The sequence below is a fragment of the Homo sapiens genome, chromosome 14, assembly GCF_000001405.40.
Source record: "Homo sapiens chromosome 14, GRCh38.p14 Primary Assembly".
NCBI lineage: Eukaryota > Metazoa > Chordata > Mammalia > Primates > Hominidae > Homo > Homo sapiens.
In genome coordinates, this window is record NC_000014.9 from 52,022,064 (window position 1) to 52,049,421 (window position 27,358).

General features: G+C 43.2%; 1 protein-coding gene across 4 annotated transcripts in view; it reads right to left on the bottom strand.

The window, feature by feature from the left end:
* Positions 1 to 27,358, bottom strand: part of NID2 (nidogen 2) — a 64,251-nt gene that overhangs the window by 17,255 nt on the left and 19,638 nt on the right. For 2 of the 4 annotated variants that reach the window (NM_007361.4, XM_005267405.5), the window contains 7 exons: positions 20,719 to 20,868; positions 20,042 to 20,287; positions 18,588 to 18,788; positions 16,684 to 16,914; positions 7,484 to 7,627; positions 6,659 to 6,787; positions 5,138 to 5,281 (listed from right to left, as the gene is read on the bottom strand). In NM_007361.4, coding sequence (NP_031387.3) covers positions 5,138 to 5,281; positions 6,659 to 6,787; positions 7,484 to 7,627; positions 16,684 to 16,914; positions 18,588 to 18,788; positions 20,042 to 20,287; positions 20,719 to 20,868 — 1,245 coding nt within the window. The remainder of the gene's footprint in view (positions 1 to 5,137; positions 5,282 to 6,658; positions 6,788 to 7,483; positions 7,628 to 16,683; positions 16,915 to 18,587; positions 18,789 to 20,041; positions 20,288 to 20,718; positions 20,869 to 27,358) is intronic. The other 2 variants (XM_005267407.5, XM_005267406.5) reach the window with 1 other exon arrangement.

Below are 27,358 nucleotides of genomic sequence, written 5' to 3' on the forward strand. Positions count from 1 at the left end.
CTGAGACACAGGGCCTATTTCTGGAGCCCATGGAGCAGTTTCTTATTGTTACTTTTGAACTCAAGAGAGAGGGGATTCCCCAGAGCTACCAAATAAATCAACGGTGTGCTTAGAACCTTCAGCCTAAGAATTCTGACTCAATCTGAAAGACCAGCCTTCCTCCCCACAGATACTGTTGGCATCATCAAAGATACTAAAGTTCTGGGTAGACAGAAACTATTAGAAATGACCAACAAGGAGGAGAAAGTCCCCAAAGAGACTGAAGATATCACAAGTGAGAAATTCCTGCCCCAAAGATTGAGACTCCCTGAATTCGCAGTCCTGACTCCTCCTTGGAGGGCCTCTCACACCATGATAGAGACTAGAGTCCCGGGACCTGGGCATGCACAGGACATCAGATGTCAAGAGAGAAAACATGGAAAGACTTTCAGCCCCCTGGCAAGGGAGGAACTTTATTGGAGAAGGAGAAGGAGGCCACTGCTTATGCTTAGTCATTACTAGCAGGGGCCTGTAGGGACTGCTATAAAGACAAAAACGTTCAAGAAGTCGTAGAGCCCCTTTATCACTCAGGTAATGAGAGGTAGCTTAATCTCAGTGCAATCCTACACTCTATTAAGCTAGTAAAGAACCTGTTTGGAAAATGTGTTAAAAATCCTTCGAGTTCATGCTTTCGTGCTTCAACATCCTTCTCACTGCCCAAGTACTGAGCAAAACCAGCAGGAACTGTTGGATGATAAACCTAACCCCTGGCCTCGAGTTCCCCCAGGCTCCCGCCCCTTCACCACTGCCCACTTGCCTTTGAGCCCAGTGAAATTTCTTGGCATCAATTAACCTCAAACCCATCCCAGATCCCAATAAAGGATTCAACCCACAGGTCCCACTCTCTCTCTACTGCACAATCTGTTCAATTGGGCACCCTGCTGATTGTACCCCTGTATGGCATGTGGTGAACCCACTCCAGACCTGTAAGTGTAATAAACTACTTCCTTTCAAGCTTCATCCTTGCCTCCTCCTATAACCACACTGATTTTACCATACCATACCCAACATCTACCTACATTCTTGGAACAGGAAACCTGGCCAGGCACATAATGGAGATCATGCTTTCGTTATCAAAGAAGAGAGAAGCTAGGCCGGGTGTGGTGGCTGACGCCTGTAATCCCAGCACTTTGGGAGGCTGAGGGGGGTAGATCGATTGAGCTCAGGAGTTTGAGACAAGCCTGGGCAACATGATGAAACCCCATCTCTACAAGAGATACCAAAATTAGCTGGGCATGCTACTTGGGGGGGCTGAGATGTGAGGATCACTTGAGCCTGGAAGGCTGAGGCTGCAGTGAGCTGTAATCACACCACTGCCCTCCAGCCTGGGTGATAAAGTAAGACCCTGCCTAAAAAAATAAATAAATAAATAAAAATTAAAAAAAAATAAGAAAAGAAAAAACGCCAGGAAACCCAAGAAAGAATAATGTCAGTATCTTCCCTCAGGCCCCTGAGTAATGATGGCTCTGGGTAATGGGCCATCTGTAACCCAGCTTCCTCCACTCACACTTGCTCCTCCTGGGAAGGTCCCAACTCAAGACAATCTGCTTTTGCACCTGGCCAAGTCACAACAATCCAAAAGGACAAACATGTCTGAGAAATATCCAGCTCACACCAACACAAGTTTGAAATCACTCCAGATTGAGGGAAGCTGCAGAGGATTTAACTCTACTTGGATAAAAGCCTCCTGGCTAGTGACTCAGACCAGACTGAGAACCCAAATCCAAGTGCAGCCTCTCCAGGGAGCCGGTTTTTTTAACAAACTATGGCTGGAGAAAAACTCCCACACCCCCTTATTGTTAGTTTGATGGAGTAAAAGAGCATGTGCTTTAACAATGCATAGCACCCACAAAATACAGCCTCTGTTCTTTGGTCACTGAGACACATGTACCCTATGGAATGCCTTTAAATATGCACACATACACATATATTTCAATATTTATTCTTCAAGTTACTTTCATGATTAGCCTAGCCTGATTTATGCATGGGTCTTTAGGAAAATGACCATTCATTCTCTACTACTCCACAATCTGAAAGTTTAGAAGACAACTACATGGTAAGTGGCTGTGGTAGGCAGCCTCTAAGATGGCCCCCAACAGTCCCTACCTAGTGGTATTCATGGTCTTGTGTAATCCCCACCCTTTCAGTAACTTGCTTTTAATTAATAAAGCAACATTGAAGGGATGTCATTTTTGTGATTATGACTTCCATCTTGCTAGCAGACTTTCTCTGGCATTAATAAAGTAAGCTGTAGTGTTAGAGAGGCCCAAGTGGCAAGAAACTGAAGGCAGCCAACAACCAGCAAGGAACCAAGGCTTTCAATCCAATGGTCCTCAAAGAACCGAATCCTGCCCATAACCACGAGTGGATCTTTCCCCAGTTAAGCCTTCAGATGAGACCACTGACCCACCAGACACTTTGACTGTGGCCTTGTGAGAGATCCTAAAGCACAGGACCCAGCTGAGCCATTCCCAGGTCCCTGGACCACTGATATTAAATGTCTATTGCTTGAAGCTGCTACATTTTAGGGTAATTTATTATACAGCAATAGATAACCAATACACTGGGGGAAGCACCTGATGGGTTTGGCATATTTTTAGTTTGTAGGCTTTGGAAAGAATCCTAAAAGCAGAGAACCAGAAATAAAATAGGGACAATTGAAAATGACAAAAATAGGGCAAATTAAAAAATGACAATACTTAAATTCCCAATATGGAAAAGTAGTCAATTTCAGAGCCCTAACATGACCCCAGAAGGTAATCAAAGTCTTGCAGGACAAGTAGAAGAAAAAAGGAGGGAGAGAATCATTGTAGAAGTGATCAAAGCATGCAGCATCTAATCTAAATTAATATTCTGATTAACACTCATCATATCTAGGCTGAAATTAATTTCAACTTCTTTGCTTTAAACCAGAGAGCTAAGGAACTAAATATTTTAAAAGCACCATCTCTGCTGATCTGAGCAGCCAGATGTTTAAATAAATTCTACAGACAAGATTTTTCTCAGTGGATTCACATTTCTTAGAGCTGGTACTAGGGTTAAACCAAACAAACGATGTGTTCCACACGAAGGAAAAGCATCATTCCCACTGTCAGGCTTTGGCACCTCACCCTGAACTCCATACCTGTAGAGGGTATCTGTAAAGAGTGTATCTATTATAGATATACTCAATGTTTTCTCACCAGTATATCTATGACAGATGGAGCTCCTGGCTGGTTAAGTGGGACAAACATCTGTGAATTACAAATCTACCTCATTCTAATTGGGAAATACTCTTTATCTAGAGCTAGGGGTGTTTATTCAAGAGGTCCATAGTCTTCTTACATTACTGGGCCTAATACCAAGACACACAGGAATCCCAACTGAGGGTTACCATCTGTATTAGTCAATTTCCTGTTGTTTATAATAGAATATCTGAAACTGAGTCATTTCTAAAGGAAAGGAATTTATTTCTTATAGTTCTAAAGGCTGAGAAGTCTAAGGTCAAGGGTTGAAATCTGGTGATGGCCTTCCTGCTGGTTGGGACTCTCAGTAGAGGGCTGAGGTGGTGCAGGACATCACATGGTGAGGGGGCTGAGTGTGCTAACATGTTATTTTAGGCAGGCCTCCCTTCTTATCAAGCCTCTAGTTCCATTCCCAAGATAACCCATTAATCCATTGATAGGGGCAGAGCTCTCATGATCCAATCACCTTTTAAAGGCCCTACCTCTCAATACTGCCACAGTGGAATGTAAGTTTCAACATGAGTTTTGAAGAAGACGAATATTCAAGCCATAGCTTCAACTTTCAATACCACCACCAAAAGTATCTATTTAGTGAAAGAAAAAAATAAAAGGGCTGAACTGAGCCACGGCTTTGGGTTAGTTCAGCATAAATTGTTCGAGAAAACCATGCAGCAGAGCTTCTGTACAGCACAAGTGGAAAGAGTAAGAATGAGGCTCAGAAACCACCATGTGCACTTGCCCCATCCAGAGAGAAGTGGAGGGCTGAGCTGCTGTCACAGTGACCTTTGTTCTGTCAGTAACACATGGCCTCAGCCTGCTGTCCACTCAGCCCATCCTGCTGAAACCAAAGGGGAAAAAGGAATGGGAGAAGGATGAGAATCAAACATCTGGTGAGGAGGAGGGAGGCCCGTGCTATTCGGATCTGGTATAAAGCTCCCAGGAATTGCAAAGCTGTTCTTAGCACATCAGCTCGGTGGGCCTGGGCGGATGGAGGCAGATGCACACAGCAACACCAGGAGCAGGGGAAAGTCTGCCTTTTAAGGTTCATGTTCCCCAGCAGGCCCTTTCCCATTCTAAACACGTTTCCCACCATTCTCTCATCCCCAGTGTGTCGTTTTACCCTAACTGTGTGTGTGTGACTCACGTGAAACTGAGTTTCAATCTGATCACATACCACAGGGTATGTTTGGAAAACCTTTTGTGATTTAAGATTTATTTAATGATTTCTATTTTAAAGTACTCCTAATCCTAGTTTCATGGACATTTATACTCAGAGAGTTATGTCGAGCCTTTAAATAACAACCTCACACATTCTTTCTAAGTTAAATTCCAATGGCTAGCCTTGCAAATGGTTTGGTGCTTTTATAAAATACTGCATTAAGTCTTAAAGATAGATTTCTGGGAGAAAAGTTTTGATATGTGTCTTTTTATATATGTGGAGTTCTCTCTTTTGAAAGAGGAGAAAAATTAGAAATTACATATGTGTTTAGAGATTGCTTAAAATATCACTTAAAGCAGAAGAGCACAACCATAAGTGTTGAATTAAGGTGGAGACCGCCTAACAGGAAGGTATGCAACTTTCCCTAAATTCCTCCAGCCTGCGCTGGCTCCAAGGAACCAAGGTTAGAAGCTCCCGAGTGCTACAGGAACGTCTCCGCCAAGGAAGCCATATATGCTCGCCCATCTAGTCCAGAGGAAATCACCCTTGGCTCCCCTTTCTAACTCAAAGGACGCTTTTTTCTCACTATTTTGGCAGCCACAAGGCTGTTAGAGTCAAAGGAAGTCCTTTGTCTTTTCTGGGAGAGCTCCATCTATGTGGGGATGTGCATCCAAAGCAACTTTCCAGTCATTGAGGCTGACCTGCAGTTACTCACCAGTGCACTGGTGCCCATCGCCGGCATAACCAGGCAGGCAGGCACAGCTGAACGTGCTGCCTCCATGGTGAACACACCGGGCCTGCCCAGCAGGAGCACAGGTATGACTGCCATCCTCACAGGGGTTGGCAGGTGGGGTGATCACTGAAAAGAGAAGAAGATAAGGGCATCCAGAGTTTAGGCCTGCAAAGGATGAGCCTCACTCCTCATGGCATGATCCACAGACCAACAGCAACAGACCAGGGAATGCAGGTTCTCAGACCCTACCCAAGGTCCAGTGATTCAGAATCTGGATTTTAATAAGATTCCTAGATGGTTTGTATGCTATTAAAGTTCAAGTACTGGTATGAATTTGCTGTTAAAATACTAAGCACAAAAACCCATCACCTAAGCAGTCCTCAATTAAAGTTTATAACACTCCAGAGCAATTGCTACACACACACACACACACACACACACACACACACGCAGTTTCTCCTGTCACTTTTACCCTCATCCCACTGAATTAAAGAGTGCATTTTCTTTCTTTTTTTTTTTTTTTTGAGATGGAGTCTCACTCTGTCGCCAGGCTGGAGTACAGTGGCGTGATCTCGGCTCACTGCAACCTCCAACTCCCTGGTTCAAGTGATTCTCCTGCCTCAGCCTCCTGAGTAGCTGGGATTACAGGCGTGAGCCACCATGCCTGGCTAAAGAGTGCATTTTCTTTACTCTCATCCATCTTTATCAATGGGATGAATTGGGATAGTTCTTTTGATCCATTTTTAGGTCTGTAGTATTTTCTGGAAATACAGAAGAGGTAATTTGTTACAGAAGGAGCTCTTTAGCCAGTCAAGTAGGACATGCATCAGTGAATTATAAATCCATCTCTTCTAATTTGAAAAATACTTTAGGCTCTATCTAAAGAGCTGGAGGTGTTTACTAGTGAAGTTCATCATCTTGTTACATGACTGGGCCAGAAATCCCAACTGAGGTGGGCATCCTTCAATAACTCAACACCAAAAATATCTATTTAGGGAAAAACAGTGAAAATAAACAGGGCTGAAACTGAGCCATAGCTTTGAGAGATTTTGTTGTTTTTTTTTTTGTTTTTTTGAGACAGAGTCTCACTCTATTACCTAGGCTGGAATGCACTAGCATGCTGTCAGTTCACTGCAACCTCTGCCTCCTGCGCTCAAGCAATCCTCCTATCTCAGCCTCCTGAGTAGCTGGGACTACAGGCGTGTGCCACCACACCTGGCTAATGTTTTGTATTGTTTGTAGAGACGGGGTTTTGCTATGTTGCCCAGGCTGGTCTCGAACTTCTGAACTCAAGCGATCCACCTGCCTCAGCCTTCCAAAGCGATGATTACAGGCGTGAGCCACCACATCCAGCCAGCTTTGGGTTATTTTGATGTAAACTGTCTTCTTAAGAAAACCATATAGCAGAGCCTCTGAATAGCAGAAGTCAAAACACTGACAGATTAAAGAGCAAGATTAAAGAGCACCATTTTGGCCACACAGGAAAATGATTTTGGAACTCACAGATGCAAGTATGCCGGTCATCTGCAAACTCATAACCACTCCGGCACTCACACCTGTAGCTTCCAGGCAAGTTGATACATACAGAGTTGGGGCCACAGCGATGAAAGCCAGTTGCACATTCATTTTCATCTAAGAAGAAATGAGAAGAGAAAAATTCTGCTTAATTCAAGGGTCCCAGAAGTGGAGGGTCTAAAAACTCAATGTTTTCTCACTAGTATGATGCTTCAATGGGACAAATGGTTGGCAGATGTAGAATTTTTAAAAATCAGATATGAATGCATGTTGCAGATAATCAGAAATAGTAAAAATTTCATGCCATTCAAGTAAACACCACAGGAAGATAAATTTTTAAGTGAATATTCTAAGAATTCTTTAACTGTTTTAAAAAGAATGGATACTTGGAAGAAAACCAACAATTTTTTTTAATATCAAGAAATTTCTACCGTTGCCTTTTGGGGATATAAGACACACAATGTCTGTCTAAAATTTAAAGAAAATCAGAAAATGTGCTTTTTGGTAAGTCTAAGAACTACTTACTACAAAAGCTCAAAATTACAAAACTTAACTCAAAACATCCAGGAACTGCAACAGATGTTTTCTTTTCACAGCCCCGGTGCAAAATCCACTCCACTCCAAACCATCTTTTCAAACATAAACAGCTATGCTTTAATTTTTAAATAACTATATTCAGATTAACAGCTGCTAAAATCATTGACAATGGAGGTTGTAAAGGTGACAGATACTTGTCTTCTACAGACATAAGGCTGGGGAGGGCAGAGGAAAAACAAGGGCTACAAGAAGGAGACACGAGAACATGGCTCTTACCCACACAGTTCCGTCCATCTCCCTGGTACCCAGATGCGCACTCACAGGTGTAATCTACACCTGTCCCTGGATGGCACCGTGCTGTTGTGTCACACATGTGGCTCCCATCATAGCAAGGATTCCCCGGAGTGGGGTCTGAATCCTCTGCATGAGTAGAGGGGAAATAAAAGCACAATCTGGCTATTGGTAAGCAAATGTCACGGAGATAGAGGAGTCCTCGGAACTGACTGCATGTCTGTGTTTTGTGACACACCGGAAGACCTTACTAAATTATCCATATCTGAAGCTAGGGTGGATTTTCTGCACTTCAGTTTTAAACTCCAGCATGGCTTCCTATTGCCTACCCTATAGACAACTAGTACCTTTACTTGCTTTCAGTAGGTTTGCATCCAGGGAATAAAAACGCCCAAAACATCTGTTTAAAAGTGCTTTTGCTCTATTATTTCCTGTGATTCTTGGGATGATTCTATGTGGTGAGTTGTTTTCCCCATTATGTGTAATTTTCACAGATAAGGAAATCAAGTGAGACATGGGAAAAATTGCCCAAGCTCACAAAGTCAGGAAGTGGCACAGCAAAGACTCAGACTCCAACTTCCTGGTTCTAAATCTGTTGATCTCTTACTAAAATTCCCAATTTTTATAGGTAAATCCAATTAATTTTAAAAATCTTGTTTTTTAAAGATTTCTAAGACTAAACAGGAATGACTTTCCCAGTATTTACTCTTCAGGAGTAGCCTTACCAAGGATCCATCTACTCACTAGGTAGCGATTACTTAACGACTGAAATCTCCCCTAGAGAAATCTATTTTGGCTGAGCATGGTGGCTCATGCCTGTAATCCCAGCACTTTGGGAGGCTGAGGTAGGAGGATAGTTTGAAGCCAGGAGTTCAAGACCAGCCTGGGCAATATGCCAAGACCTTATCTCGAGAGAAAGAAAAGAAAGAAAGAAAGAAAGAGAAAGAAAGAAAGAAAAGAAAGAAAGAAAGAAAGAAAGAAAGAAAGAAAGAAAGAAAGAAAGAAAGGAAGGAAGGGAAAGAAAGAAAGAAAGAAAGAAAGAAAGAGAAAGAAAAAGAAAGAAAGAGAAAGAAAGAGAAAGAAAAAGAGAAAGAAAGAAAGAAAAAGAAAAGAAAGAAAAGGAAAAGAAAAGAAAGAAAATTAGCCGAGCATGGTGGCCCATGCTTGTAGTCCCAGCTACTCCAGAGGGTGAGGCAGGAGGATGACTTGAGCCCAGGAGCTTAAGCTTGCAGTGAGCCATGATTGTGCCACTGCACTCCAGCCTAGGTGACAGAACAGGACCATGTCTTAAAATATATATATTTATTTCTACATAATAGTCAATGCTCATTGAGCATTTATGTGTGAGGCATTGTTCTAAACAGATAGGAGGATGCCTGATTACATCCTTCTAACTACATGGTGAGGAAAATACTATCTCCACTTCTGCTGCATCACAGAGAGGCCAAATAACCTGCCCAGGGTTACACAGTCAGAAGAGGTGGATGGAGCTGGAATAAAAGTCTAGCAGTCTGGTTCCATAGCTCATGCTTTCCACCGCTTTGCTGCAACCCTCACTGAAGGAACTTCATGAAGTTATCTAGTCTAAGCCAATGGCACAGAGGTATTGGAAGGAGTGTCAGATGCTCAGGTAGAATGAATCTATCAACTCTGGCACTTCTGTGTACTTCTGAGTCTGCCATGTAAAATGGAAATAGGAACATGTACATCTGCCAATCCTGCTAAAGAAAATTAAGAAAACCCAACAGAACATATTTGAAAGGCAATTCCCCATTGGCAGGTCTACCCAGTCTCTACTGACTGCACTCCTTCTGCCTTCTCAGTGGGGCCACTGTTCATCATTATTTGAGGTTCTAGCTCAACCTCAGTCCCTAGAATTAACTCTAATCTTAGACTCAAAAGATTTCCAGAGCCCCAGCTAAGCCTGTCAGGTTCTACATTGAGCCATCTCTGCTACAAAGGGAGATCCATCTAAGTTGTAATAACTCAGGCTTCTGCCTCATACTTCTGTGCCTGAGGCCCTGTCTTGATAGCCAGCTTAGCATCCTCTGAGTCCCATCCTGCTCACCAGTTCTCACTACTCACAGACACCAGCATCATGGCATCTGTAGGCAGACACTGGCAGTACCACCCATTTTACCACCTCCTCCTGGATTCTCTATCATTTCACTCTTTCTGACCCGTGTCTCCCACCCCACTTTGTACAGAATCTTCTATTAAAATGGAGAAATAACAACAGGAGAGAATCAGGTTCTTGTCTTATACTGAGCCTTCAATGAGGACATGACCCTGTTGTTCTCCATTGTAACAGATGCTGACTCAGGAACCTGGTCTATACTCTCAAGTTAACTTGGCAACCACAACCCCACTGCTATGGGGGGAGACTTGCCCAGAGTGACTCCTAATCTAGATCCCAAGTGCTGACTGCTGCAGCTGACCTCATAGACTGGACTCGCTCCCAAGTCCTTCAGGGTGTCTGGCATTCTCCCCCGTGCCTGCCCTACTGCCCACGTTATGGCTCTTCCAGTGCCCTGTCATAGCCTGCTGTGAGCTGGGATGCCTTGGCTGAGACAGCCTTGTTTTCTGGTAAACTCTTTCCATCCCACTTTATAAGAAACACCACAGTGCATTCTTGTAGTGGAATATTCCCGTATTATTGATTCCCGTATTATTGGCTGAAAATAAGGAGGGCTATGGGTTTATCCTCAGTTCACCACAATGTTGTCGGCTGGAGTAACAGAATCTTTGCCAAAACAAAGGACCAATAAATAATTCCAGCACTTTTTAAACCTGATGAACTATGTCAGCATAAGCCTAGCTCCCTGAAGCATGCAGACATCCTTGGAGGTCCGTTCCTCTGGATCTCTTGGCTGACAGGAAAGAGGCACCGCACTGGGGTTGTGGTTGCCGAGTTAACTTGAGCCTAGACCAGGTTCCTGAGTCAGTCCTCAATAGGTTATAACTAAGGACAAGGTCATGTCTTCATCCATTAGGACCCAATGTAAGACAAGAACGTGATCATCTCCCATCATTTCTCCATTTTAGGAAGATTCTGTACAAAATGCCTGGCATACCCCACCAAAGCAGGAAGTAATTGTCAACATGTTTTGATTTATAAATACTAATGCTTAGCCTTCTTATTCAGTACTTTCCAGCATCAAAATTTCACCATGGCACATTCCAGCAAAGATTAGTGTGTTCACATGGACATCAAGAGCTTACCACCCTGCTAGGCATTAAAAGAAAAAAAAAAAATCTCAGCTCAAAAGTTGACTTGCAAACTTGGACAGGATATATTATCCTACCTAAAATTGAGAAGAAAGTGTCCCTAATTACTCAATACTGATTTAAAATGTATGTCACTGACAGGATTAGTTCCATAATTTGCAATCCCCAGTGCAAAATGAAAATGTGGAGCCCATGGTTCAAAGCAAAGCGTTAAACCAAGCATGGGGCTCTTCTGAGCACAGGGCCCCATTCACTGAACTTGGCTTCCCAAAACATTTTTAAAATACATTTCTAAAACCATTTCACGACTCATTCTCTATGACTTGTAAGCTTTTCTCCTATTATAGTAAGTAAAGAACACAGTATCCTTCTTAAGACATTTTCTATTTCGCCCTCACCCTCTTAAACTGCCTGACTCTCTTAACAGAGGATCTGGAACTAATTTACTCATTTAATCAAGGGGAAGAGCGGTTTTCCTTAAAGGAACAGTCCCTTCAGCTTCACTGCACAGCCCTCTGCCCAGAGCCTCCTCAACTCGCCAAAAGGACCCGTGAAGTGGAAGGACAGGAAGCATTTTTGGATCGTGTTTTATGACCCCACAAAACAACCAACCAACCAACAACAACAAAAAACAGCTGACTCACACTTAAAGCTTAAAGCTCAAACAACTGGTGGGGGGTGGCACTGCTGGTTGAGAAGTCACCGAGGGACAGAGGCTCCAATTACTCACTGGGAAAGACACCCCAGTTCTGCATCCTCGCCCTGGGAAGTCGCACCACACCCACATCAGGTGTGGACAGCTGCGCTGTTTCACATGAATTCCAACAACTATCGTTCCCTCTGGAAAAACTGAGCAGTTCTTAGGAAGATACTGCTGTGTACCAAGAGGGGAAAGAAAAAACTTTTGGGTGTTTCTTTTTTGTTTTTCTTTTTTTCCCTCCTATTCAGGTAGAATGAACAGTACTGCTGTGTGTGGATGAAGTAGGGTTCAAACACAAAGGGTTTAAAAGACACACATTGCCTCTTTCAAAGTTTGGTCTAAATTATGAGGCAGTCATGAGGCCACTGTGGAACAGCAGAGCCATGAGGGGTAAGGGTGTGCGTACTGGAGCCAGTGCCTGAGTTTGAGTCCCAGCTCACCCAGGTCACTTACTATGACCAGGCAAATTACTTCATTTCTATACCTCAGTCTCATCATCTGTAAAATGGGATAACAAATAACCCCACCCCCACCCCACCATTGGGTAGAGGTCATTGTGGGGATTAAATGAGTTAATTCATGTAAGGTGCTTAGAACAGTACTTGGCACCAAGTAAACCATCCTTTGATATTATTATTTGACTGGGGTGGGAGGGAAAATCATAAAATTCTAAAGAAAACAAGCAACTTGGTACCTGCCAGTTTGCTTTCTCTGATCCTTTCTTACTCTCATTTGGTATGTCTCTAGGAAAAATATACCCAGAGACACATCTTTTTCCTAAATGGTTCCAGAATCTGAATGGGACTCCATAGCCTGGGAAATTTCACTAACAGTTGCTTTTACAGATCAGATGCCTACACCCAACACAGGGCTGACCTGGACATTTAAAGGTAAAGACCATTCTCCCCAGTAGGTTTAAATCTCTCTTTGAGAAATCTACTACAGCAATCTTTCCCTTTCTAATTTACATGTTCCTCTAAAATCAACTCACATTTTCATGTGTTCATTTGCTACCTTACAATCCAATATCTGGGCACCTAATGCCTACATTCCCAACCAAGTTTCTTAAAACCAAAGCACCTCGGGATTCTCATTACAAGTCACTTTCGCATCCTAGAAAAGAGTCTAGTCCTTGTACCTTAATCTTGTCATATTGCTGAAGCAACACTTCTTTATTGAGCCTGCTGAGGCTTAAGGAGCCCTCAGCTCCAATAACAAAGCACAGAACCGCGTATCACTTACAGATTCACCTCACTGAGGAGCTAACTCTGGGCTCAACAGTTTCAATACAGTGGCTGAATTGAGGAAGATGGTTTTTTTCTCCTGGTGTGGCTCTTACATTCTAGGGGAAAACATGACCTGGTTTTCAGAATTAAAATGTCCCCTTGATCTGACAAAGCCACTTCCCATCTGTAGAGTTCCCTGACTTCACAAGCTCATCCTCTGGCTTGCTTGAAACATTTTTTAATAATTAAGACCTTGCTTTTTAGGATGGTTTTACATTTAGAGAAAAATGGAGCAGAAAGTACGAGCTCCCATATCCCCCCACCCAAAATGTGCAGTTTCCCCTATTATCAACATTGTGCATTAGTGTGGTGCATTTGTTATCCCCAATCAATACTGACACATTATTAACTAATGCCCATAGTCTGCAGTAGGGCTCACTCTTGGTGTTGGACAGTTCTATAGACTGACAAACGCATAATGGCCTATAACCAACATTACAATATCATACAGAATAGTTTCACTGCCCTAAAAATCCCATGTTCCACCTATGCATCCTTCTCCTTCTTCCTCCTGAACCACTGGCAACCACTGATCTTTTTACTGTCTCTATAGTGTAACCTTTTCCAGAATGTCATGGTTAGAATGATTCTGTATGTAGCCTTTTCAGACTAGCTGCTTTCACAGAGCAACATGCTTTTAAGTTTCCTGCATGTCTTTCTGTGACATGATATGCCTAGAACATTTTAAAATCAGTCTTCACAGGTGAGGCTAATGGTCATTAAAATTTGAGAACCACTGCTTACTTTGAGACGGGGTCTTGTTATGTGGCCAACTCTGGCCTCAAACTCCTGGGCTCAGGTGATCCTCCCACCTCAGCCTCCAGAGTAGCTGGGATTACAGGTGTAAGCCACTGTACCCGATGAGAATGGTTTTAGAGTTTTGTTTCTACTACTATTTGCTTCCATTTATTTTTATTTTTTGAGACGGAGTCTCACTCTGTTGCACAGGCTGGAATGCGATGGCACAATCTTGGCTCACTGCAACCTCCGCCTCCTGGGTTCAATCAGTTCTCCTGTTTCAGCCTCCTGAGTAGCTGGGACTACAGACACATGCCACCACACCTGGCTAAATTTTTTTGTGTATATATATATATATATATATATGTTTTATTTTGTAGAGACAGGGTTTCACCATGTTGGCCAGGCTGGTCTTGAACTCCTGACCTCAGGTGATCCACCCACCTCAGCCTCCCAAAGTGCTGGGATTACAGGCATAAGCCAGTATGCCTGGCCTTCAGTTGAGAAGTAATTCACATACCATACAATTCATCCGTTTAAAGTACATAATTAAACAATTTCGTCTATTCAGTGTTATCCAACCGTCACCACAATCAATTTCAGAACATTTTCATCACCCCCAAAATTAACCCTGTACCCTTTAGCTATTAACGCCCTATGCTCTCATTATCTCTTAGCCCTGGGCAACCATGAATATGCTTTCTATGTATGTGGATTTGCCTATTTTGGATATTTCACATAATTGTAACCATTCAGTATGCTGTCCTTTGTCACTGACTACCTTCACTTAAGGTTTTCAGAGTTCATCCATGTTGCAGCATGTATCCGTACTTCATTCCTTTTTATGGTTGAATAATATTCCAGTATATGAATATATTTTTTGGTGTCCATCAACTGATGGGCATGTATGTTGCTTCCACCTTTTGGCTATTATGAATACTGCCACTATGAATATACACGAATAAGTTTTTGTGGGGATCTATGTTTTCATTTCTTTTGGGTATATAGAAAGGAGTAGAATTGCTCCATTAAATGGTAACTTTGTGTTTCACTTTGAGAAACCACTATTTTGTTTTTCACAGTAGCCACATCATTTTATAATCACACCAGCAACGTATGAGGGTTCCGAATTTTCCATGTTCTCGCCAACACTTGTTATTACCCGTTTTTTGATTATACTCGACCACATGATGTAAAGTAGTATCTCATTGTGGTTTTGATTTGCATTTCCCTGATGACTAATGATGCTGAGCATCTTTACACATGCCCATTGGGTATCTGTATATCTTTTTGGAGAGAGGTCCTTGCAGAGCTTTTGCCCATCTTTTAGTTAGCTTGTTTTTTTATTGAGTTGTAAGATACTTCGTATACTCTAGAACAAATATCACATGATTTAAAATACTGTCTCCCATTCTATGGCTGTGTTTTCACTTTGTTAATAATGTCCTCTGAAGCACAAACTGTTAAAATTTTGATGACACCCAGTTTATTTTGCTGTTGCTTGTGCTTTTAGTGTCGTACCTAAGAAACCATTAGCAAATTCAAAGTCACAAAAATTTACCCATATGTTTTCTTCTAAAAGTTTTAACTCTTACACTTAGGTCTGTTGGCCCATTTTGAGTTGGATATGCTGTGAGGTAAAAGGTTCAACTTCATTCTTTTGTATGTGGTCACTCAGTGGTCCCAGCACCATAGTTAACAATAGTTTAAAAGACTATTCTTTCTCCATTGAATTGTTTTGGCACTGTGTTTTTTGTTTTGTTTTGTCTTTTAACCATCAGAATTCTATTATTATTATACTTTAAGTTTTAGGGTACATGTTTACAACGTGCAGGTTTGTTACATATGTGTACATGTGCCATGTTGGTGAGCTGCACCCATTAACTCGTCATTTAGCATTAGGTATATCTCCTAATGCTATCCCTCCCCACTCCCGGCACTGTTGTTGAAAAAGCAATTGACTTTTAATGTGAGTATTTCTGGGTTCCCACTTCTGTTCCTTTGATCTTTACATGTATCCTTACGCCAGGACCACACTGTCTTGATTACTCTAGATTTCGAGTTTGAGAAATACAAGTCTGACTTTATTCTTTTCCAAGATTGTTTTGGCTATTCTGTGTTCTTTGAATTTCCATATAAATTCTAGAATCAGCTTGCCAATTTCTTCAAAGAGCCAGCTGAGATTCTGATAGGGATTATGTTGAATTAATAGATCAATTTGGGAAGTATTCACATCTTAACAGTATTAAGTCTTCCAATCCATGAATGTGGAACATCTTCCCATTTAACTGGGTCTTAAATTTTTTTCCAAAAATGTTTTGTGGGATGCAATGTACAAGTACTGCACTTCTTTTTAAAAATTTATCTCTTTTTGAAACAATTTCTTAATCTTTAGTTTGCTCATTGCTACTATAGAGAAATACAATTTGGTGTACTGATCTTGCATATCTTATAACATTGCGAACTTGTTCTTTAGTTCTAATAGTGTTTTAGTGAATTCCTGAGATTTTCTACACAAAATGTCATCTGAGACTAATTTTACTTTGTCCTTTTCCAATTTAGATGGCTTTTATTTTGTGTTCTTGCCTAATCACCCTGGCTAGAAATTCTAGTACTGAATTGAATAAAAGTGGCAACAGCAGACATCCTTGTCTTGTTCCTAAGCTTCAGGGAAAAGCATCCAGTCTTTCACCATTAAGTATAATGTTCTGGGAATCATGGAGGGGGAGGTTATACATCAAGTTCTATGATGTTTGGTTTTTCCAGATACTAGCTCTTTGCTCCACCTTAGTTTTGGATGAAATTCTTCTCATCTGTTTTAGCTAAAATGTCACTTTCTTGGGGACATCTTTTCTGAATCTTCAAACTAGACTCACAGTGCCCTGCTCTCATCACACTTGTAACAAATACTTGTCAGCATCACTCTCCCTCCTAATTCCAGTCTGCCTTGTTCACAGGTATATTCCTGATTGGCACGCACAGTTGGGTATTGCTATAAACCAGCTTCACATACTATGCTCTATTTCCTGACTTTGGCAGGGACACTGTTCCCTGCCCTAAAACTCTTTTCTGCCTCTGTTTCCAACTCAAGGGCAAGGATCTGCTCTATTCATCCTTATACCTAGCACATAACACAGCATGGCACTAGGTAACCCTTAGTAACCTCTGTGAATCATTCTAACTCTACTTAAAAGGATGTCATTTTTACCCAACAACAAAAAAGGAAACCTTACCTTTGACCGGGCCAATTTGATTGGTCACAGCAAATCTAAGCACTCTTTCTTCGTCATTATACAAGGCAAAGACCCGGTCCACGTTCAGCTGCTGGGTGGTGGGGAAGGACGGGTGTCTGGGGGCGTGCCTGCACACCTGGTAAGTGATGTTCTGGTGGATGCGGTAGGACCATGTTTGGTTGATTGCACCAAAAGTCAGAGAGTAGTCTCTGGAACTTGTAGAGGTCACAGCTGCAACAAACACAGTGGTAATTTTTTAAAAATATTAAATACAGAGATTTTCATGTGAGGTGGATTTTTCTGCAGTTTTTTTCATCTAATTCTTGGAGTGTGTTCCCTTGGGAACCTCCTGAGTTTATATGAAAAAATGTGTAAGGAAATCCCAAAAACCTGAGTGGATGCAAAGCCACAGTGCTGAGAGGGAGAAGGCACTACAATTGTCCATGTTATTATACACAAAGAATAAGTGTTACTAAGGGCCAGCCATGCCAACAGTGCTCTCTACATACTGCCTCATTTATTCCTCACAACAGCCTGGTGAGGTGGGCACTAAATCATGTGATCAGAGGCTCACAAAGGTTAAGTAGCCTAAGATGCAATGCTGCCACATGGTAGAGCTGGAACTGAAACTCACATTGGTTTGACTCTACACCCTAAATTTTAAACCAATCCATCTTCTACATTTCACAGAAGTGACGACTTCCAACACCTCGCACTTCAGTAAATCTGAAGGATTCCAGAGAAGGGAAAGGGTTGTCTCTCACCATCTGAGTCTAGGAGTCAAGCTCAGGTCAGTGATCCGGACACTGACCATTTTGTTCACAGCCCAGGTCTCTGCTTCCCCTTGTCTTCCCTACATCTCCTGCCAGGCTGCCAGCTCTCAGCATAGGAGCAGCAGGGGTCAGAGGAAAGGCACAACTCAATCCGGATTGCTGTGCTGCACAACAGCAGCTGTGATGGAGGCAGCATCCTGTGCGCAGGTAGTACTTTCACAGAACACATCACGCTTCGCACACATTGATCACATAATATAGAAAAAGCATTTTTAGTTCCATGTGAAAGATGAGAAAATACATTCTCAGATATTAAGAGGCCTTTCCCTATAGATATTAAATGGCAAGTCCAGGATATAAATTCTTATCTTTTGACTCCAAATCTAGCATTAGTTTTATAATAAATTATAGCATCTCTGTGTTTTTTGGTTTTGTTTTTGAGATGGAGTCTTGCTTTGTCGCCCAGGCTGGAGTACAATGGCACAATCTCGGCTCACTGCAACCTCCACTTCCCAGGTTCAGATGATTCTCCTGCCTCAGCCTCCCAAGTAGCTGGGATCGCAGGAGCGTGCCACCACACCCTGCTAATTTTTGTATTTTTAGTAGAAACAGGTTTTCACCATGTTGGCCAGGCTGGTCTTGAACTCCTGACCTCAGGTGATCCACCCACCTTGGCCTCCCAAAGTGGTGGGATTACAGGCATGAGCCATTGCACCTGGCCTCTTTCTGTGATTTTTTTTTTTTTTAAAGCAGCCTGAACTCATCAGCTGAAACAAGGTTGAGATAAATATAAATTCCAATAATCACTATTTTTCCATGTTGCAGAAAGTAGGATGGTTAAAAACTGTATATAATTATACCATCCCTACCCACCCCATGGACAATGTTGCTATTGATTTTATTATTTGAAAATACTATGTAGGGATATAGATATTCTTATGTATAGCAGCCATTCTGCTCACTTACACGATATATTTCATGGTAACAATAAGAGTAATAACATAATAGAGCTCATTTTATGTTCCATGCACTGTTCTAAGGACATGCCATGTAAGTCATTTAAGCCTTGTATCTATCTTGTGAGATGGGCATAATCCCCATTTTACAGATGTGAAGACTGGTTATACATACTGGAGTCGGAGTAGTGGTACAGCTCCTTGTAGGGAGAGATGTGGGCTGTGAAATTTGCTGAGACGTAAGGCACCTGGCCTTGAATGTTGGTCTTAATGCTCAGGTAGTTCTCTGGGTCAAGTCCCTCAGCAGTTTGAGTGATACGAACCGTCTCCTCTCCCGGGTAGAATGTAACTTCCATGTCATGGGTAAAGGCAGCACCTGGAGATGAAAAACATTCAGCACAGGGATGAAAAGAGGTCTTGCTTAAACAGTTACCAGTATATACTGCCCGCTCCCAATTTCTACTGCTGTTGGAGATCGTGCCTAAGGAGATTATCTGATATCTGAGAGTAAGCACTATCAGCTGTTGATTCCATAAGTTCCCAAACTTTTCCATTGAAGAATATGGTTTCATCCTGCCTTACCTCACCCAGCTTCTCTTTGAACAAGCTTGTATTCTGTGAGAAATACTCTTGGGAACGTCCTTGACTTTTCTCTAAGGTTGCTAGACTTAGCAAAAAACAAACAAACAAATAAACCTAACAACAAAAAAACAAAAACAAATAAACTACCACCTAAGACATTCAGGGTTTTGTTTGAATTTCAGATAAGTATGTCTCATGAAATATGTGGGTAATACTTATACTAGAAAATTGTTTATCTGAAATACAAATTTATCCAGGTGTGCCATTTTTTATCTACTTTTGACCCAAGGGCTTTATTCAAATTTTGATTAAAGCAAGAACCTATTAACAGCTACCGAGCTCTGCAGTTAAAGATGGAGAAAGAACTTCTCACAAAACTATTTTTAATGCAATAAAGATAAAACCTCTAGCAAACAAGTTTTCAGGTTGGAAGGTGAGAATCCAAAAAGTATCTTCTAAATCCTTGTTGTCAACGGGTGGCCTTTCCAGCAACACTGGTACCTCACCTCCTAGCTTGGTAGAAAAGCAAAATCACGGACCCCACCCCAGGCCTGCTGAACCAGAATTTACATTTTGACAAGACCTCCAAGTGATGTGTGTGCAGGTTCAAGTCTGGGGTGCACCGGCCTATACTATTATAGGTTGTGGAGCTGGGAGGAGAAGAGCACCCCTTCCCCATGAAGTAAAATCATCCCCAGGTGCCCCAAGTACCATTTTTGCATTTGACAGATCTGTGCATAATTTAAAAAGCCTGACAAATATGCTGCAACAAATTGGGGTAAGAGGACACAAATGTTCTGAATGGAATCATCCTGTTTCTCAGAACAGCTGGGAGAACATTTAGACGAAATCACTGCCTTTCAAAAATCAGTGATGTGAGGTCAAACCATTCCCAACAACCTGTGGCCAGAAAACTACACACATGTGGCTCTAGTACATTAAACAAGTGATTCCTCTGTCACTGCGTAAAGGCCTAAAGACAGTGCCCCAAGGAGCACCACTGCCAAAGCAATGCTGACTACCGGCCTTCTCAGAGGCCCTACTCACCTGCGAGGCTGAAGCCGTTCTCAGAGCCAGGTTTTTCTAAAGCAAAGAGCCAGCCAAACAGGCCTCCAATTGGTGTGAGGGGGAGGAGGGCCTGGGCTGCTGGCTGTGGGATGTGGCTGATGGCCGTGTAGGCTCTGCCATCATTGCCCACGATATACGCATGCAGGTCCACATCAGTGAAGTGCACGGGTGTATGGCCCACGTGGAGGTGGCCACTCACTTTCCCATTCACTCGGTGAGGTGCCCCTAAAAGACAGCAAATCCAGTTAGGCTTGGACGTCATCCTGGCTAGAGATGGGTGTACCCAGGTATAATTATTCCACTGACAACTTCCAAAACTCACTCTTTAGCAAGTCACTTTAATGATTTCCTAACCAACCAATTATCCATCTATGAAACAGTCCTGCCTCCAGTCTGTTTTCTCCCCTCCTCCTTCTACTCCACTACACTTTGGCTCTAATGAGCTGGCAGAAGGAAGCATTTCTGGATAATCCTCAAATTGGGAATCAGCCCAAACCAGTTCATTCCTCACACATTTATTGAGCACCTGCAAGTTGATAGCACTCTGATTTAAGTAGTGGAGATGTTTGGTCCATAAAGCAGAGCTCACAGTGGTAGCTGGAAACAGGTAAGCAGCAGGAATAGACACACAGGAGTTCCTGGCCCCAGTCAATTACCTTCAGGCAGACAGTGCTTCCCATTTCCATAAAACTTGGATTGGCAGTGGCAGCAGAAGCCAGTGGCATAGTCCGTGCAGAAGGCATGCCGGGAGCATTGTCTGTGGTTGTGTTCACAGGTTTCCTTGTTGGCAGCATTATACGTGAAGACTGAAAAATAAAACAAACTTGCCTTAAAAGGACTAAATGATTCCAATGTCACTGCTGCATCGGGGACACAACATCTGCTCCATAGAAGCAGTTTAGATCATAACAAACAGTTTTTGATGTTTAAGAGACCGGCATAACATTCAACCCAAGGGAATTAATCTGCTTTGTCTGCTGGCAAGAAGAATTGCTTACTGCTCCCGGCTGGGTCCCATTGCAGAGTTGGTGAACTAAGATGAGACTGCACCCGTGGGTTTGAGTGCAGTAAAATGAAAGCAAACCAGTAAGTACATGTTAGGTTGAACTTCATGAAACCACTATTTTTGTGGGTCAAAAAGGGCTAAATATCAGCACTTTTATATGGTTCAACCTAAACACATCCTGAGAGGAAGACATAATAGAGAAGCTAACAAATGTCTTATGTCTAACCATCCTTCTTTTAGGGAACACTGAACTTAAAAAAGATAATAGCTGGTCTCGCTACCAAGATTGTTTTGAGGGAAGGGTCTTAAAGAACACACGCACCTACCTCAAAGAAAAGGCATGGGGAGAAGGGGACAGAGGAGGGCAAAACAACAGGGATTCAAGCTATTAAAATGCCCTATGCCCTTGGCAGGGTTTAACTATGATGGGTATGGTACAAGCATGATTTCCACGCAGTAGCAGACAGCTTGGGCCCCACTCGCAGATCTTCCAAGAAATTATGGAGGACTAGGATAAATTCAGTGCTCTGGCAGCTGTTTCTTCCATTTCCTACTTATTCTGCCCATTAAAAGAAGAGGGCCATCTGTGCTGCAAAGAAATGGGGAAACTGGAGCAAATGCCATAGTTCATAAAGGAAATAGCCAAGGGGGTAGGGTGTGGCGGGGGTTGTGGATGGACAGGAGGGTGCTTTCTCCGGGGCACTAGGAAATATGCCAATCCCAAGCATGGCCACCAGGAGGCCAAGCGGCTGCACACACCTCTGCCTCCACATCCCCAGGAGGTGGAGTTGGCTGGAGACTCCAGGAGCATGCTGTTGAGCAGGGATGGCATGGAATTCTAGTGTGAGACACGGATGCTGGCATGAAGGAGGACACCCACCCTACTCTTAGGAAAAACCAAGTGGTAGTTGTGTTCCAGGTCTATCTGGAAACGAGGAGACAGGAGGGGAGGAAGAAATCCAAAGATCAATCTTTACCCAGTATTCCCAGGGAGAACAGAAAGTAAAGGAGCTAATGAGACATAGCATTATAGGTACAATGTCACCAAGATAAAGACCTCCATCAGCAAATAAAAATATAACAAAGTTAACACTTCAATCGCGCTTAACATATACAAGCTTTACATTTAACAACCTTTTTTTTTTTTTTTTTTTTTGAAACGGAGTCTCGCTCTGTCGCCCAGGCTGGAGTGCAGTGGCACGATCACAGCTCACTGCAAGCTCCACCTCCCAGGTTCACGCCATTCTCTTGCCTCAGCCTCCTGAGTAGCTGGGACTACAGGCACCCACCACCACGCCTGACTAATTTTTTGTATTTTTTAGTAGAGACAGGGTTTCACCATGTTAGCCAGGATGGTCCTGATCTCCTGACCTCGTGATCCACCTGCCTCGGCCTCCCAAAGTGCTGGGATAACAGGCGTGAGCCACCCCGCCCGGCCAACAACTCTTAATTTGCACAACAACCCTAGGTAGCAGGGACTTTTTTTTGTTGCTGTTGTTGAGACAGGGTTTTGCTCTGTCACCCAAGCTGGAGAGCAGTGGTGCCATCTCGGCTCACTGAAAGCTCGACTTCCCAGGCTCAAGTGATCCTCCTATTTCAGCCTTTTGAGTAGCCGCAGCCACAAGCATGCATCACACCTGCCTACTTTATTTTTTGGTAGGGTGGGTTGGGGGGAGGGGTCTCCCTGCGTTGCCCAGGTTGGTCTCGGTCTCGAACTCCTGGGCTCAAGTGATCTTCCCACCTAGGCCTCCCAAAATGCTGGGATTACAGGTATGAGCCACCACTCTGGCCAGGGACAATTTTTTAACCCGTTTGCAGATAAAGCTGAGGCACAGTAGACTAAAGCACCTGAAGTCGCATAGGCAGTGAGTGGCAAAGGTGGGAACCGAACCTAGGACATCTAGCTGGAGAATCTTAACTGCTACTCTCCACGACCCCTTCAATGGGATCCAAGTACGGAGATCATGAGCACTAGATTAGGGGTCACCACATGTCTGGGGTTAATCAGCACAGACTTCAAGTATAATTCGAGTCATACTTTATAAACTGGGTTTAATGGTAGAAGCAAGCAGGGAAGATTATCGAGATGACTATTACAGCATGTTGAAAAACAGCACAGGTAAGAAATGAGAGTAGCAGCAGCGGCATTAGCTTTTGAACAGTACTGGAGTGCTGCCTGCAGATCCTTGGGAAAGCAGCAAGCTGAGGGTTGGCAGGACAGACAGTGTAGGTTCAAGTGGAAAATCTGATTAGAACATAGTAGGAATGAAGTTATGACTCAAGATTTAGTATAGGGCCTTGATGACTTGGCTAAGAAATTCCAGTTTGATAAAAATAGAAAATTAGGCATGACTCAACTTTATTTAAACAAGAAAGTGACAAGCTTAACTTAAACAGAAAAGTGATATAAAACTCAAGGCAGAAAAAAAAAAAAAAAAAACCCAGGATGGATCATGGTAAAATAGATGGCTGTGAAGAAAACTGTATCACTGTCTATTAGTTTAAGAAAGGGAAAAAAACATTTAGAGTAAAAGGAAATGAATGTAACTTGGATGTGTCAAAATCTCAGGTTTCTCCAGCTCAGAAATTCACAACTAAGTGTAAGGAAGCAGCTACAGGAGGGACTCACACACTCACCAGTGTGCTCATGGCTTAAGGGCCATCAGGACTTTCTCCCAGAGCTCAAGGAATGAGGGGCTGCAGAAAGCGCCAAGCTCTAGGACTCAACCTCAGCCCTCCCTCGGGGGCTTTGTGGAAACTATGCAAACTGTCTTTCAGCTTCCTCATCTCTAAAATAAGTAGAACACCTCTTCCTCACCCCTGCATTGCCAGAAGTCGCATTTCTTCTTAATGTACTTCTGAACACCAAGTAAAAAGGCAATCTGCTATAGGTCTAAAGAACAGCCATTTGGCTGGGCCCGGCAGCTCACACCTGTAATCCCAGCACTTTGGGAGGCCGAGGCAGGCGGATCACGAGGTCAGGAGACTGAGACCATCCTGGCTAACACGGTGAAACCCCGTCTCTACTAAAAATACAAAAAATTAGCCAGGCGTGGTGGTGGGCGCCTGTAGTCCCAGCTACTCGGGAGGCTGAGGCAGGAGAATGGCGTGAATCTGGCAGGCGGAGCTTGCAGTGAGCCGAGATCGCACCACTGCACTCCAGCCTGGGCGACAGAGAGAGACTCCATCTCAAAAAAAAAAAAAAAAAAAAGCCGTTTTCATAATATTCAGATAAAAATCAATCCAAACTTTACAAGCTGTTCTGCCCACAAATTAAGGAAATAACAGGCTTGGATTGTATCTTATTTCAGTTATTTTGTGAAGCCTTATTCTGCAACCCAATTCTTATTCTGAGGCTGAATTATGAAACAAGGAGAGAGAAGATGGAGGAGAGACAGTCTAGATATGGAGAGTTAAACTAGGTGGAGTCATAGCTTTTATCTAAGTAAAAAGAGGCAGGGCGATGCAGCCAGCAACTTACAAGTGCAACTGTGCAAAGGTTTATAAATAGATTGGAAGCTGTACTACATTTTTCTATTACAGAAAAAGAAGTTATAACAATGAGCAGGCTCCCATGAAAGGCTATTATGAGACTTAAACTGTAATTACAATGGGCTAACTAGTTACTGTTAAGCTAACCTGGGAGTCTTTTTAAACAGTTTTGTGGAATATTGTATTTTTAGGATGGTACTTACTGAGCCAAGAACACACACTGTCTCTTTCAGCTTCATAACAGCCACATGAAGGAAAGAAGATGGATCAGCCCCTAATCCGGGGGAAGGCAAGCCTCCATTTATAATCCCTCTTCCACGCCTGCCTTCATACCCAAGTGCACACACAGGTTTGCACACTTACCATTTACAATGGCAGCTTGTTAGGTGAAAGGTAAATGCTTCTTACAATTTTTGTTCATTCATTCACTAATTCAACAAGTATTTACTGAGCATTCACTATAGACCTGTACCTAGTCTAGAAACTGAGGACATGGCAGGGAGCAAAAGAGACAAAAATTCACATCCTGAAGCTTACATTCTCCCCAGCAGCAGTCAATAAACAAGTAAATTACTTAGTGGGGTGGATGTGTAAGAGCTGTGCAAAGAAATACAGCAGAGAAAGACAAGAGGGTGGGAGGGGGCAGGTGTACATGGCTCTTTTTAATAGCATGGTCAGGGAAGACCTCAGGAGAAGGTGACTGAGCAGAGGCCAGGAGGAGGTGAGGGAGTGAACCCCACAGATGAGGGCAGGCGTGGTGCTGTGTCAGGCAGGAGGGGTGTGTGGGCATGTGGGAGGGATGGTGAGAGAAGAGGTGGCCTGGGTCATTCATGCAGGGTCTCAGAGATCACAGGAAGGATTTGAGCTTTCATCTGAGTGAGATGGGAAGCACTAGAGGGTTTCGAGCAGAAGAGTAACATGCTCCGACTACAGTAAATCAGACAGGAGCTGGTCCCTTGGTGGTAAGAAGTGCTGGTACAGGGGATAAGAAGGGCCCAGGTCTGGGATATTCTGAAGGTGGAACCGAGAGGGTTTGCTGGTAGACTGGATGTGGGATGATGTTCAGTCCTGATGTGGGAAACCAAAAGGGTGGAGCTGCCAGTTACTGAGATAGGGAGACTGAGGAGGAGCAGGTTTGTGGGGTTCAGTTCTGACAACAGCATGAGGCATCAAGGAAATTCACCAAGGGGTGAATAACAACTTACACCCTCAGCACAGCACCATGCAGTCCTTCACACGGAGAGCTGCATTTCTCCCGGTGGATTCCAGAGACCACTGCATCAGGATCACCTGAGATTTCTGTTAAAAATGCAAATTCTGAGGGCCCACCTTAGACCTACCAGTTCCACTCTCTGGGTGCATCCTAGCAATCTACACTTTAGCCACCCCGCCAGTGATTCTCACACCAATTGGTGTTGATAGAAGGCTTGGGATACAACAAGCCTTGGATTTCTGAGCTAGGTGTTGCTCATCAATGTCGTTAACAAATTTAATCTGACCAATTGGCAGCTCCTGGGGTGGGCAGAATGTTAGGAAATTTCTCGTGCTCATTTCTGGCCACCTGAGAAGCTGAGCTCAGTGCTTACGGCCCATTTGGGCATCCATCCACAAGAATACAACGTGAAGATTCTTTAGTGAAAGTAATACAGACGCACAGCAGCCAGATAGCCCTTCCCTGAAGAAGGGGGAGACCTGGAGCTAGAACGGTGCTGAGCCCACGTGCAGCTATTTATCCAGGGCGAGAAAAGCCAGACCTCCGGCCAACGTGACTGCTCAAATTTCTATGGGAATTGCAGTGAAATTCAAAGAGGCTGAACTTCTTGAAGGCTGGGAATCAAGATCTGGATCCCAGCTAGATGAGATGTGCAATAAACCCACCCGAGGAAAAGTGGCACTTTTTCTTTTCGGTGGTCATTTTCATGTCCCTATCATGGCTTTGAGTGTATTTTCATGCACTTCTTCCTATTCTAGTTAGAAGATATCTCCATTTTATAAATGAGAAAATTGAGGCCTACAGAGATGAAACAATCTTCTGGCTCTAAATCCCATCAAATTGAGGGGGCATCAGAATCACTGAAGTGCAGAGGAATATGGCAGGGTCAGACAAGAGGGTGAGAGAGGGCAGGCACACCTGGCTCTTTGAAATAGTATGGTCAGGGAAGACCTCGGGAGAAGGAGACATTTGGGCAGAGGCCTGGAGGTGTTGAAGGAGTGAGGTGGCTTAAAAATGCAGTTTCTGGTTCAGAAGGTAGAGGAGGCGCTTGGAAATCAGTGTTTTTAACCAGGCTCCCAGCTGAGTGAGAGGAAGGTGGATGAGTGCCCACACTTTGAGAAATACAGTTTCTAGTCCATGGCCTCCTCTGGGACCCACACTATGCCAGGAAGCTCCTGCCACGGAGAGTCAGACCATAAAGAAGTTTGCTGACACCTCAGGGCACAGCAGGAGGGTGGAGGCTGGCCAGGTTTGAATGAACTCATTTTGTCATGGATTTGTTAACTGAGGTTTGATAGTTGCTAAAGGATTCTTAACATGAAGATTTTTTAAATCTCTTTTTTTTCTATTTAATGTTTTTTTTGTTTGTTTTTAACTTTTCTCATGTCCTTAATAGAAAGAAAAATGGGGTGGGGAGATATCAGAGGAAAGAAAGAAATGCCCTGCCAAAGGACTTGAGACTTGTCCTAACTAGGAGTTCGTAACAAAAATGGAAAATTCTCCTCTGCACTTGTTCTGAGCCATCTTTCAATCTTCATTTTCCCAGAAACACTTAAGCACCTGTCTGCAGCCCTTGGCCGGCCTG